A 14,854-nucleotide genomic window follows, 5' to 3' on the forward strand; every position below is an offset into this window, starting at 1 on the left:
TTAAAAGAATCATACACTATGACCAGATGGGATTTATTCCTGGGATGCAAGGATGGTTCAAAATGCACAGATCAATTAATGAGATATGCCACATTAAGAAGATGAAAGATCAATTTACTTTATGACATTAAGATGCAGAAAAAGCATTTGACAAAATCCAACACCCTTTCATTATAAAAACTCAATACGTTAGGAATAGCAGAAAGCCTACATGTAAAAATCCATAGCTAAAATTATACTCAATGGTGAAATAATGAACGCCTTTACTTTAAGATCTATAACAATGCAAGGATACTCAGTCTCTGCACTTCTCTTCAACTTGGTACTGGAATTCCTAGATGAAGCAATGAGGCAAGGAAAAGAAATAAATAGCATCCAAATGGGAAAGTAGAAATAAAGTAGCTTCTGTTTGCAAATGCCATGATTGTATACACAGGAAACCATAAAGGTTCCATAAAACTAGTAGAAGAAATAATGAATTCAGTAAAGTTGCAGGACACAAAAACAACACTCAAAAATCAGTTCATTTTTATACGTCAAAAACAGACGGTCAGGAAAGGAGATTAGTTAAACAATCCCATTTACAACAGCATCAAAAAGAATAAAATACTTAGGTTTAAAACAAACCAAGGAGGTGAACGACTTGTACACTGAAAACTATGAAACATGAAAAAAAGTAAAAGAGACACAAAAAATTGAAAGATATTCCACGGATTGAAGAAACTAATATTGTTAAACTATCCCTAATAGTCAAAATTATCTACAGATTCCATGCAATCCTTATCAGAATCTCCATGTTATTTTTCAAAGAAATAGAAAATAAAAAAATTATATAAGATGAAAAAAATCCAGATAATTAGAAGCAATTTTTAAAAAGAAGAACAAAGCTTTTCAAAATACAGTACAAAGGTACAGTAACCAGAACAGGATGTTACTGTCATAAAATAGAGACATATAAAGCGATGGATGAAAATAGCTCAAAGATAGACTCATATATGCTGGCTCCAGCATGTCACTGGAGGGGTCACATTTTCATTATAATTTAAGTATGCATTTTTGAAATTGCATCGTAAATTTGTAGGTAAACATTTCAAGGTGTCAAATTTTCTTGATGCAAATATTGAGAGCCTCACTTTATAGTTCTTTTTTTTTTTTTTTTGCTTTGTGTGTGTGTCTGTGTTGTAGTCTAAGAAACCAAACATTTGATATGTGAGACTGTCGCTCTAAATAAACAAAATTACACTAGATTATGGTACAAAAGTAAGCTTGATGCTCACCTTCTCTGAGAAAATATTTTAAAACAATCATTTAATTTTTCAAAATGATCCTAGGTGTGTGATTCCAGAAACAAGTGCCATTGTTCGCCAGGCTATAAGCCTCCAAACTGCCAAATACGTTCCAAAGGATTTTCCATATTTCCTGAGGAAGATATGGGCAAGTATTTGTCTCTTTAAATACCCATTTAATAAAATTCTCAAATTGCTTATCTTCACTAAAACAAAGTTCGATTTTTCCACTTACAAGGCAACTGATATTTGTAATAAAAAGGTAATCAGAATTCTCTCAAGGAATGGAAACCAAACATGCCATCTTAATCTTGCTCTCTTTTCTTTATAATTAACTAATCAATTAATTTTTTTTATTTCAATAGGTTTTTGAGGAATAGGTGGATTTTGGTAACATGGATAAGTTCTTTAGTGGTGATTTCTGAGATTTTGGTGCAGCCATCACCCAAGCAGTGTATACTGTACCCAATGTGTAGTCTTTTATACCTCACCTACTCCTATCCTTCCCCTCAATACCCCAAAGTCCATTGTATCATTCTTATGCCTTTGTGTCCTCATAGCTTAGCTCCCACTTATGAGTGAGAACATATGATATTTGGTTTTCCATTCTTCAAGTGAAGAGTTACTTCACTTAGAATAATGGTCTCAAACTCCATCCAGGTTGCTGCGAATGCTATTATTTTGTTCCTTTTAATGGCTGAGTAGTATTCCATGGTGTATATATACATCACACTTTCTTTATTCACTCACTGATTGATGGGCATTTGGGCTGGTTCCATATTTTTGCAGTTGCAAATTGTGCTGCTATAAACATTTGTGTTAGCGTCTTTTTATGTAATGACTTTTATATAATGACTTCCTCTGGGTAGATTTCCAATAGTGGGATTGCTGGATCAAATGGTAGATCTACTTTTGGTTCTTCAAGAAATTGCCATACTGTTTTTCGTAGTGGCTGTGCTAGTTTACATTCCCACCAACAACGTAAAAGTGCTCCCCTTTAAGCACATCCATGCCAACATCTATTATTTTTTGATTTTTAAATTATGACCATTCTTGCAGGAGTAAGGTGGTATTGCATTGTGGTTTTGATTTACATTTCCCTGATCATTAGTGATGTTGAGCATTTTTTCATATGTTTGTTGGCCATTTGTATATCTTCTTTTGAGAGTTACCTATTCATGTCCTTAGCCCATGTTTTGATGGAATTCCTTTTTTTCTTGCTGATTTGTTTGGGTTCCTTATAGATTCTGGATATTAGTTCTTTGTCAGATGCATAGTTTGTGAAGATTTCCTCCCACTCTGTGGGTTATCTGTTTACTCTGCTGATTATATCTTTTGCTTCGCAGAAGCTTTTAAATTTAATTAAGTCCCTTCTATTTATCTTTGTTTTTATTGCATTTGTTTTTGGGTTCTTGCTCATGAACGCTTTGCCTAAGCCAATGTCTAGAATAGTTTCCTGATGTTATATTCTAGAATTTTTATGGTTTCAGGTCTTAAATTTAAGTCTTTGATCCCTCTTGAGTTGATGTTTGTATAAGGTGAGAGATGAGGATCTGGTTTAATTCTTCTACATATGGCTTGCCAGTTATCCCAGTGCCATTTGTTGAATAGGGTGTCCTTTCCCCATGTTATGTTTTTGTTTGCTTTGTTGAAGATCAGTTGGCTGTACGTACTTGGCTTTATTTCTGGATTCCCTATTCCATTCCATTGGTCTCTGTGTCTATTTTTATATCAGTACCATGCTGTTTTGGTGACTTTAGCCTTATTGTCTATGGCCATACCAGCCTGAATGTGCCCGATCTTGTCTTGCTCTTTTTTCTAACATTAAAATATCATAATTCACGCTGAATACCTTTTAAAATTTCTCTTTACTGATATCATTGACTTTATCTTTTAGAATATTTTCAACCTCTCTTCCTCAGCTTTATGACTGATCCTGTGACCTCAGCTCTAAACAAATGACATTTTCTCTGTGTCTAGTACTGTTACTGTGTTTCTGTTACAGAAGAAATGAAATAGAAGACAAGATTTTACTCTGAAGGAGTTTATCATTTAAATCAGAAAAATCCATCAATTTCTGCTTAGGAGATGACAGAAGTGATGCTGGCATATTATTCTGTTTGTGCCCCACAGCTTCCATTTCTGTCATTAATTCATTTATTGAGTTAGCAAATGTTTACTGAACTCTTAATATATGCCAGGTCCAGGTGCTGGTCTACACACTGGGGATGTACGGTGAGCAAAATGAAGTTCTTCTCCTCATGGAGTTTAGAGAATATGTTTAGGTCTATGTATCCAGTGATAGCAAGGGACAGAATTAGGATTAGGAATCAATTCTTCTAATTTTTATGCCAGTGCCCTTTTAGTAGTATTGCAATGACCCCATTTACAACATGATCCCCAAGGCCAAAAGCCAACAATCTACCAAAGAAAAATAAGATATACACAAATACACTGAATTCCTTTGATAATGCACCTTGTAAGAGTGCATTTTTGGATAACCATGCAATTACACAATCCCACGTTGTATATCATTGAATTTTTTTGTCCCTACTTAGAGGGTTATAGTGAGATTTTGCTGTAGCTGCTGTGAGACTTGAATACTTTTGAACTTTCCAAAACTTGGTTTCCATGCTTTTAGAATGAAACGTTGTACAGGTAGCCCCAAGGATTATGATTACAATTCTATAATGATTTTTTCCATGTTCCTTGAATAACAATACAAATTCAGAAGATTTTAATGAATGTGTTGCAACTTGAAAGTAAAAGTAGATAGTTTAATTTTTTTGTTTTTTTTTTTTTGTATTTCTGTTTTTAGGTTCAATCATGGAAAGAGCATCTGGGAAGACTGAAAACACCTGGCTTCTAGGTTTCCTCATTGCTCTTCCTATTCTCATTGTAACAACCGCAATAGTTTTGGCAAGGAAACAGTTGAAAAAGTGGTTCGCCAAGGAAGAGGAATTCCCAAGTAGCGAGTAAATTGCATTTGTGTTCTGAAGTTAAACATTAGTACCATTTGAATCTAGTTATATGTAAGACAATATCACGAGCAGTAGCAATACTTTACATATCACTGGGATTTTGAGTATTACATCAATATGTCATTTAATTTTATGAGGTAGCTGTGAATACCCATTTTTAAGACACAAAGATTTGGAAGTGTAATTTACATAGTTTGCCAAAGTCATTGAACTGCTAGTTGAGAGAGGAAGAAGTCAAATGTTTACGTAATATCTGTTCTTTTCTTATCAAAGGGGATGATCTGTATCATCTACAACAGAAGTATTTATTAAAAATGCAGATTTCAGGGCCTTACTACAGACTAAATATTTTAATTCACATTGCTGGCTCATATAAGAAGTAATTTTAAAAATATTCTTTGGGTTAAATTTTCAGAAGGGAAATTTGTAATTTAGATTATTACATTTTTATTTTTCAAGAAATAATTCAAACACTAAGACAGAGAACAACATGACAAACATCCTCTTGCCCACCATGGGAAATAAACAGATATTAATATTTTTCTTGTTTCTCTTATAAAATAAGCCATTGTATTTGCAGCTGCAATTCCTTCTGGTATGATCCCCTTCCCTCCCTGTAGAGGATGTCTACACTGAATGTTTGTGTATCTTACATGTTTTTAATACACGTGGCATTATCCATATCCCATAACCTACCTAGTATTGTTTTATGTATAATTTTAAATAGCTATACTTTCTCTGCAGATGCATTTCTTTTTCAATTTTGGTTTGTTTGTTTTGTCTTTTTTTTTTCTTTTTCATGAGCAGTCCGCTCAGAGGTGTTTTTATTTTGTTAGTAGTTTGAAACATGTAACTTTTGGTTTCATTGTGGTCTCTATTTCTATTGTTTTTTATATCAAGTTTTGCTCTTTTTCCTCCTTTCTGGTCTTTTTACCTTTGCTCTGTTGTAACTCTAGATTTCTTGATTTTAATGCTTTCTTTATTAATTTTCAACCCTTCTTATTTTCTAAAATAAGAAATACTTTAATAGCAAAAACCTTCTCCTTAACATATATCATTTCCTTTATACTCTCCAGTTTTTAAATGATAGTCGACATTCAGTTAAAAAAATTTGAAAAATCTAGCAGGATTTCTTGTTTAAATAATGAATCAATTGTAATCTTTAGTTTTCAATTATATGATTTATTTTCATTGTTTTAAAAATAATTTTCTAATTTTATTAGCTTATTTTGAGAAACTTGTCTATGTGGTTCTCTTAAATGTTGGAACAAAAAATGAAGTAAATTTTTATAAATGTGTAAGCTTGATATGTGTCCTCCAATGTTTTTAGGACCAACTTTTTAATTGTGTTGTTTCAAATCATTTTTATACATACTGGGTTTTTTTCCTGTCCGTTTGATACTTTGTCTTCTGTGAGAGGCAAAGTAAAATTTTCAGTGGGTTGTAGCTTTCCCTCTGATTGTTGAAATTTTCGCTTCAGATATTCTGAGGCAGTGACTAAATGCATAATGTTTATTTTAGTTAAATTTTCTTGATGTATTTTCCTTTAATCATTACTAATAATATCTTAAATACAATTTTCACTGTTTTAGATTGCTATATCAACTTTCTCTTTAAAAATGACGTTTACCTGGTACAACTTTTTTCGTTTTTTTCTCAATCTGTCTTTGCATTTAGCTGGTGTCTTATAAACAGCCTTTATATGAAATGCACTAATGGAGTTCATTATGCTCATATGCTTAATCCATGATGACATATGTTTAGGCTGAAATTTGCCATCCTACTTTTTTCCTATTTACCATGTTTTTTGTTTTTTTTTTCCTTTTTCTATCATCTATTTTCTTGGTTTCATTTTTCTTTCTTTTTTGAGACGAAGCTTTGCTCTTGTTGCCCAGGCTGGAGTGCAGAGGCATGATCTTGGCTCACTGCAACCTTAGCTCGCCGGGTTCAAGTGATTCTCCTGCCCCAGCCTCCCCAGAAGCTGGTATTACAGGCGTGCACCACCACGCCTGGCTAATTTTTTGTATTTTTAGTAGAGACTGGGTTTCTCCATGTCAGCAGCTGCTCTCAAATGGTTTCATTTTTCTGTTCTCTTTTTTTTTCTTTAACTCTGGACATTTTTGTATTCTGTTTTTGTTTTAGTGATTTTCTTTAAGTTTTAGTATTTGTAGTTAATGTTATATAATGTCTAAATTTAATCATTACATATAGTCTTCTTGGAAATAACCCAAGGACTTCAGTCATTTAACTCCTTCCATTTTCAATGTTTGTCATTTGACTTTCAAATTTCTCCCAAATAAGTCAGTGTTATTTTTGTTATTATCATCTTTATGTTTAGTCAGTGAATACTAGGATTTTCCAGTATATTTCCCAGTCTTACTCACCATTCCTTTTCTAAAAATTGTTTTGTTTTGAAATAATTTAAAGACAAAAAGTTGCAAAAATTGCACAGGGCTGTCATGTACACTTTGCCTAGCTTTTTCCATTGATAACATCTTACATGAACACTGCATTTCCACAGCCAGTATAATGGTATCGGTACAATACTTTTAATACAACTAAAGATCTTATTCAGATTTGATAGTGTTGTATGCATTCATTTATGTGTGTGTATAGTATTACCACATTTTATCATGTGATTCGTACCAACACCACAATCATAATTCCTGTTGGAATCCTACTTTTTCATTCTAGGTTCAATTATCTTTTTTCCCTTAGATTTACTGTGGTATGATTGACAAATAAAAATTGATGATTTGCCTGATATATGTATATGCTGTAAAATGATTATCACAATTCCTGTAATTAACACATCCATCACCTCATATAATTACCTCTTTTTGTGTATGTATTGAGAACACTTAAGATCTACTCCCTTAGCAAATGTCAAGTTTTTTACGTATAAGGTCATGTCATCTGAAAACAGAGACAACTTCTTCCTATTCAATTTGGATGCCCTTTTTTTCTTATTTCTTGTCTAATTCCTGTGGCTAGGCCTTCTAGTACTATGTTGAATAGAAATGGTGAGAGGGGCTTCTTGTTTTATTCTTGATCTTAGGCCAAAACTTTTATTGATAGCTTTTCACTGTTAAGTTTAATGTAGCTGTGGGCTTATAATACATGGCTTTTGTTATGTTGAGGTATATTTCTTCTATGACAAACTGTTGCTAGTTTTAATTAAATATGTTGAATTTTGTTTCCTGTATCTGTTGAGTGTATTTTCAACCATCCTTGCATCACAAATATAAATCCCACTTGATCATGGTGTATCATCCTTATAATGTTCTGTTAAAGTCAGTTCACTAGTATTTTGTTGAGGATTTTTACATCTATATTAATCAAGGATATTGGCCTATTATTTTCTTTTGTAATGTCCTTGTCTAACTTTGGTATCAGAGTAATTCTGGCCTTATAAAATGTGTTTGAAAGTGTTCCCTACTCTTCAGTTTTTTGGAGGAGTCTGAGAAGGATTAGTATTAATTCTATTATAAAAGTTTGGTAGAATTTACCAGTGAAACCATCTGGTTCTGTTTTTTTCTTTGTTGGGAGATTTTTTTTTAATTGCAAGTTTTATTTTTTCATATATTTTTAAATTTTCCAAATAACAATTGTACATATCCATGGGGCACACAGGGATGTTTCAGTATATGTAATGTATAGTGATCAGATCAAGGTAATTAGCAGATATATCATCTCAAATATTTATCATTTCTTTGTATTGGGAGGAGTCAGTATCCTCCTTCTAGCTATTTGAAACTATATATTATTGTTAACTATAGTCATCCTACAGTGATATAAAGAATTAGAACTTTTTTCGCATATCTCGCTGTAACTTTGTAGACTTTAGCAAATCTTTCCTTATCCCTCCCTTCCCCTTAAACTTCACAGCCTCTAGTATCTTCTATTCTACATTTTACTTCTGAGATCAACTTTTTTTTAGCTTCCACATATAAATGAGAACATGCAGTGTTTAAGTTTCTGTTCCTGGCTTATTTCACTTAACAACATACTTCAGTTGCATCTGTGTTGTGGTGAATGACAGGATTTTATTTTCGTGGCTAAATGATATTCCATTGTGTATCTACACCACATTTTCTTTATCCATTTGTTGTTGGAAACAGGTTGATTCCGTATCTTGACTATTATAAATAGTGCTGCAGTAGACATGGCAGTGCAAATGTCTCTTCGATACAATGGTTTCCTTTCCTTTGGATAAATACCCAGTGGTGTGATTGCTGGTTCATATGGTAGTTGCATTTGTTGTTTTTTGAGGAGCTGCCCTGCTGTTCTCCATAGTGGCTATCCTAGTTTATATTCCCATCAACAGTGTCCCTTTTCTCTGCATTCTTGCCAGCATTTGTTATTTTTTTTTGTCTTTTTGATAAAAGCCATACTAACTGGGGTGCGAGATTACCTCATTGTGGTTTTGATTTGCATTTCTATGATTATTAGTGATGTTGAACATTTTTTCTCATATTTGTTGGCCATTTGTGTGTCTTCTTTTGAGAAATGTCTGTTGAGTTTATCTGCCCATTTTTAAATCTAATTGTTTGCTTTTTTCCTGTTGAGATAGTTGAAATCATTGTATATTCTTGGTATTAATCCAGCAGTTTTCAAATATATTCTCATATTCTGTAGGTTGTCTTTTCACTATGCTGATTGTTTCTTTTGCTGTGCAGACACTTTTTAATTTGATATAATCCCATTTGTTTATTTTTGCTTTTGTCACCTGTGCTTTTGAAGTCTTATTTATAAAATCTTTTCCCAGGCCAATGTCCTGATCATTTCTCCTATGTTTTCTTCTGTGAGTTTCATTATTTTGAATTTTATATGTAGGACTTTGATCCGTTATGAGTTTTTTTTTTTTTCTGGTATAGATTGAGAGGTAGGGGTCCAGTTTCATTCCTATGCATGTGGATATCCAGTTTTCCCCAGGGCTATTTAATGAAGAGACTGCCCTTTCTCCAATGAATATTCTTGGCACCTTGTCAAAATTCAATTGGCTGTAGATATGTGGATTAATTTCTGTGTACTCTATTCTGTTCCATTAGTGTAAGTGTCTGTTTTCATGCCAGTATCATGCTGTTTTGGTTTCTCAGCTTTGTAGTATATTTTGAGTCTGGTAGTACAATTCTTCCAGCTTTACTCTTTTTTCTCAGGATTGTTTGGCTATTCAGGGCCTTTTGTAGTTGGGAGTTTTTGATTATTCCTGCAATCTTCTACCTCTTATTTGATATGTTCAGATGTTCCCCTCCCTTCCTACCTTCCTCCTTCCCTCCATCCCTCCCTCCATTCCCCTCTTTCTCTCTTCCCCTCTTTCTCCCTCTCTCTCTTTCACTCCCTCTCTCTCCTTCTCTCTTTCTTTCCTTCCATCCTTTCTTTTTCTCTTGCTCTGTCGCCCAGGCTGGAGTGCAGTAGTGTTTTAGGCTCACTGCAATTTCCCCCTCCCATGTTCAAGTGATTCTTGGGCCTCAGCCTCCAGAGTAGCTGGGACAACAGGTGCGTGCCACCATGCCTGTCTATTTTTTTTTAATTTTTAATACAGATGGAGTTTCACCATGTTGGCCAGGCTGGTCTCAAACTCCTGGCCTCAAGTGATCTGCCCACCTTGGCTTTGCAAAGTGCTGGGATTATGTGTGAGGCACCAGGCTTGGTGAGGTGTTCTGTTTACGATTCAGTCCTGATATGTTGTATCTTTCTTGGAATTTACCCATTTCTTCTATTTATTCAGTTTGCATATATTTGCTGTAGGTTCCATTTTATTCTGGAGGAAGTACATTACAGTGATGTTCTACATGTAATAATCTGTTTGATGGTTATTACTGAATTTTTTTGCTTTATGTTCAATATTAATTATAGGTTATATGGGTATGGAACTTTAGGTGAACAGTTATTTTTGTAAGGCTTTTAAGGATATGCCTTTGAATTTTAGCATGCACTGTTTATGGGATGTCTGCTATCAGTCTAATCAATTCATTTTTTATCTTTATACTTAAACTTTATTTTTCTATAAGTTATGAAAATTTTCAGCCCTTATCTCTGCAATAATTGACTTCTCCATTCTGCCTCTTTTTCTCCTTCTGAACTTCCTGTACTTTAGTGTCCCCATTCTAGCCTCCATGGTTGTGGTGGTGGTTGTTCTCTATTTCCTCCTTTTTCTTCATCTTCTTTTCTTCCTTTTCATTGTTTTTCTTTTGCGATTGGAATAGGGCTTTTAAAAACTGGGATATAATTTACATATCCTGAAATTCATTATTTTTTAGTGTGTGCAGTGTTATGAGTTTAGCAAATATATACACATACCACTAGCTCAATAAAATGTAGAGCAGTTCTGTCATCCAGAAAATTTTGTCTCACCCCACTCGAGCTCTGGGCACTGGTGGATCTGTTTTCTGTGCCTACAGTTTTGCCCATCAGAACTTTGTATAAATGGATTAATACATTATGCAGTCTTTCCAGTCTGGTTTCTATACCATAGCTAATATATTTGAAATCCATCCATGTTATTATGTGTATCAATAGTTTGCTCTCTTTTAAATCTATTGTTTTATTGATATATAGTTGATATACAATAATTTACACATATTTTCAGTGTATAATTTGATGTTTTGATAATTTGAAAAGTAACACCCATTAAACCATCGACATAATCAAGATGATAAAGGTATCTGTAACCCTCAAGAAATTTCTTATTTCCCTTTGTAATTCCCTTCCTTAGCCTTTCCCTCCCATTTCCTGTCTATCCCCAGATTACCACTTTGTTTTTCTTTTTCAAATTTTAATTTAGGTTCAGGGGGTACATGTTCATGTTTGTTACAGGGTTAAATTGTGTGTCACTGGGGTTTGGTATATAAATGATTTCATCCCCCAGGTAGTGAGCATAATACTTGTAACTGATCTGTGTAAGGTTTCAGTTTCTTCATGGTTCAATCATGGTAGGTTGTGTGTTTCTAGGTATTCATCTATTTCTTCTAGGTTTTCTAGTTTGTGTGTATAGAGGTGTTTGTAATAGTTTCTGAAGATTTTTAAAAATTTCTGTGGGGTCAGAGGTAATGTCACTTTGGTCATTTCTTAGTGTGGTTATTTGGATCATCTCTTTTTAAATTAATCTAGCTAGTGGTCTATCAATCTTATTTGTTCCTTAAAAAAGAAACTTTCGGTTTTATTGATCTTTTTCCTGGATTATTGTGTCTCAATTTCATTCAGTTCAGTTTGGATTTTGCTATTTATTTTCTTCTAGCTTTGGGGTTGGTTTGCTCTTGTTTTTCTAGGTCTTCTAGGTGCGATGTTAGGTTGTTAACCTGAGATCTTTCTAACTTTTTGATGTATGCATTTAGCACTATAAACTTTCCTCTTAACACTACTTTAGCTGTGTCCCAGAGTTTCTGTTATGTTATATGTTTGTTTATATTAGTTTCAAATAATTTTTTTATTTCTGCCTTAATTTCGTTATTTACCAAAAAGTCATTCAGGAGCAGGTTGTTTAATTTCTACGTGATTGTATGGTTTTGAAATTTCTTGGCATTGATTTCTGTTTTTATTGCACTGTGGTCTGAGAGTGTGATTGGTATGATTGGTATGTGCTGATGTGAAGAATTTACATTGTGGTGTTGTTGGGTGGAGTATTTTGTAGATGTCTGTTAGGTCTACTTGGTCAAGTGCCGCGTTAAGTCCCAAATACCTTTGTTAGTTTTCTGCCTCAATGATCTGCATAACACTTTCAGGGGGTGTTGAAGTCTCCCACTGAAATAGTCTCCCACACTATTATTGTGTGGTTCTCAACATCTCTTCGTAGGTCTCTAGGAACTTGTTTTATGAATCCAGGTGTTACACTGTTGGGCCCATATATATTTAGGATCATTAAGTCTTCTTGTTGAATTGAACCCTTTATCATTATGTAATGCTCTTCTTTGTCCTTTTTTATTGTTTTTGGTTTAAAGTTTGTTTTATCTTAAATAAGAAAGCAACTTCTGCTCTTTTTTATACTTTGTTTGCTTGATGGATCTTTCTCCTTCCCTTTACTTTGAGCTTATGGGTGTCATTGCAGGTGAGATGGTCTTTTGAAGACAGCATGTAGTTGGATCTTGCTTCTTTATACACTTTGCCACTCTGTGTCTTTAAGTGGGGCATTTATCCCATTTACATTCAACGTTAATATTGTTATGTGCAGATTTGATCCTGTCATCATGTGTTAGCTGGTTGTTATGTAGATTTGATTATATATTTGCTTTATAGTGTCAGGGGGCTATGCGTGTAAGTATAATTTGTGGTGGCAGGTAGCTGGTTATTAAGTAGATTTGATTATATATTTGCTTTATAGTGTCAGGGCTAAGCATGTAAGTATGATTTTGTGGTGGCAGGTAGCTGGTTGTTATATAGATTTGATTAGATATTTGCTTAATAGTGTTGGGGGGCTACGCATGTAAGTATGATTTTGTGGTGGCAGGTAATGATCTTCCCTTTCCATGTTTTGCTTTCCCTTAAGGACCTGTTATAAGGTAGGTGTGGTGGTAGCAAATTCCCTTAGCATTGACTTGTTTGAAAAATATTTTATTTTTCCTCTGCTTATGAAGCTTAGTTTGGCTGGATATACAGTTTTTGGTTGAAATTTCCTTTCTTTAAGGATGCTGAATATAGGTCCCCAATCTCTTCAGACTTGTAAGGTTTCTGCAGAAAATTCTGCTGCTAGCCTGTTGGGGTTCCCTTTGTAGGTGACTTGCCCCTTCTCCCAAGCTGCCTTTAAGATTTATTCTTTCACATTGCCTTTGGAGAATCTGATGACTATGTGTCTTGGGGATGGTCATCTTGTATGGTATCTCACAGAGGTTCCCTGAATATCCTGAATTTGCATGTCAACATCTCTAGTGAGGTTGGGAAAATTTTTGTGGAAGTATTCTCCAATATGTTTTCCAATTTGCTTGCTTTCTCTTCATCTGTTTCAGGAATGCCAGCGAGTCCCAGGTTTGGTCTCTACGTAATCACATATTGCTCTGATATTTTGTTCATTTAAAAAATTATTTTTTCTTTTTTCTAGTCTGCCTGTGTTGTTTCAAAGAAATGGTCTTCAAGCTCTGAGATTCTTTCCTCAGCATGGTCTATTCTGTTATAATGCTTTCAGTTGCTTTATGAAATTCCTGTAGTGAATTTCTCATTCCCAGAAGTTCAGTTTATTTTTCTCTTAAAATGGCTATGCCATCTTTTAACTCTTCGACCATGTTGCTGTGTTCCTTGGCTTGAGTTTCGACCTTCTGTATGTCGATGAGCTTCCTTGCTATCCAGAATTAGTATTATATGTCTGTCATTATAGCCATTTCAGTCTGGTTAAGAACAATAGCTGGAGAGCTATTGTGGTTGTTTGGTGTTAAAAAGACACTGTGTCTTTTTGAGTTGTCAGAGTTCTTGCATTGGTTCTTTCTCATTTGTGTGGGCTGATGTTCCCTTAATCTTTGAAATTGCTGTCTTTTGTATGGAGCTTTCTGCTTTTACATTCTCTGATACCTTAAGGGTTTCACTGTGGTATAAGTTAGGCTTAGGCAATTGGCTTCATTTCTGGATGCTTTCAGGGGGCCAAGGCTCAAATTAGCATTCCTGGGGTATGTGCTCTATCCCTGGGGGGTTGGGACCTGGCCTGTTTCTTTGTTCTCTGTCCCCTTAAGGTTAAACCCCTGTTGCACTGGAGAGGCCAAGGTATTCCCAGTCTGCTGGCAACAACCCTCCAATGGGGGCTGCCAGCAAAAGCACTGGGGTGGGCCAGTGGTGGGTCCATGTATATGTGCGTGCAGGCAGGGTAGGTGGGGGTTCCCCCATTTGTGCATGCTGGCAGGGTGGTGAGGGTTCTGTGTGCCCATGCGTACTGGTGAGGGGGTGGAGAGAGGCTGTGCTGGTGGGGAAAGGCTGCAGGCTGGTATCCCAGACTACTACTAATCTGCTTCTGTCACTACAGTTTACAGTTCCTTTTCTAGAATTTTATATAAATGAGATCATATGATTGTATGTACTTTGTCTGGATTATTTACATCACCATAATTATTTTGATATTTATACATGCTTTTGTGTGTGTCAATAGTTTGTTCCTTTTTATTGCTGAGAACTACTCAGCTGTATGAATATACCTTAATTTTTTTAAATCTATTTATCTGTTGATGAATATTTGGGTTATTTCCAGTTTATAGGTGTTATAAATGAAGCTGTTGTGAACCGCTGGAAACAAATGCTCAGTGCCGCAAAGAAGAACCAGCACTGAGACAAAGGATCTCTCAGCAAGGCAAATTTACTTCTGCAGAAGGGTGCTTCTCATAGTTCTGGTTGCCATGAGAGCACCCCAAACAGAGGAAAGCAGGGGTTTTTATTTCTAACACAGCTTGTCCCTGCTACTGTGTCATGCCTCCATTGGCTGGAGTTGGACTGCACAATCTAAGCTGAACCCGGTTGGCTAACTTGAAAAGTGCAGGAATGCGGTTACACTGGTGGGAAGGTGGGAAGATCAGTTTCGGCAGGAGTAGCCATTGCAATGGGAAAGGTAATTTACAGAGTGGTTAGCAGATGTGGAATGTGGGCTCTATAGATAAAGACTGGCAGGAAGGTTGT

The 14,854-nt window shown here is 35.0% G+C and overlaps 1 protein-coding gene across 13 annotated transcripts in view; it reads left to right on the top strand.

Moving 5' to 3' along the window:
* Nucleotides 1-14,854, top strand: part of ADAM32 (ADAM metallopeptidase domain 32) — a 177,389-nt gene that overhangs the window by 145,554 nt on the left and 16,981 nt on the right. For all 13 annotated transcript variants that reach the window (NM_001313994.1, NM_145004.7, XM_011544433.3 and 10 more), the window contains 2 exon segments: nucleotides 1,332-1,434; nucleotides 4,105-4,261. In NM_001313994.1, coding sequence (NP_001300923.1) covers nucleotides 1,332-1,434; nucleotides 4,105-4,261 — 260 coding nt within the window.

This window comes from Homo sapiens, chromosome 8 (genome assembly GCF_000001405.40).
Source record: "Homo sapiens chromosome 8, GRCh38.p14 Primary Assembly".
Classification (NCBI taxonomy): Eukaryota; Metazoa; Chordata; class Mammalia; order Primates; family Hominidae; genus Homo; species Homo sapiens.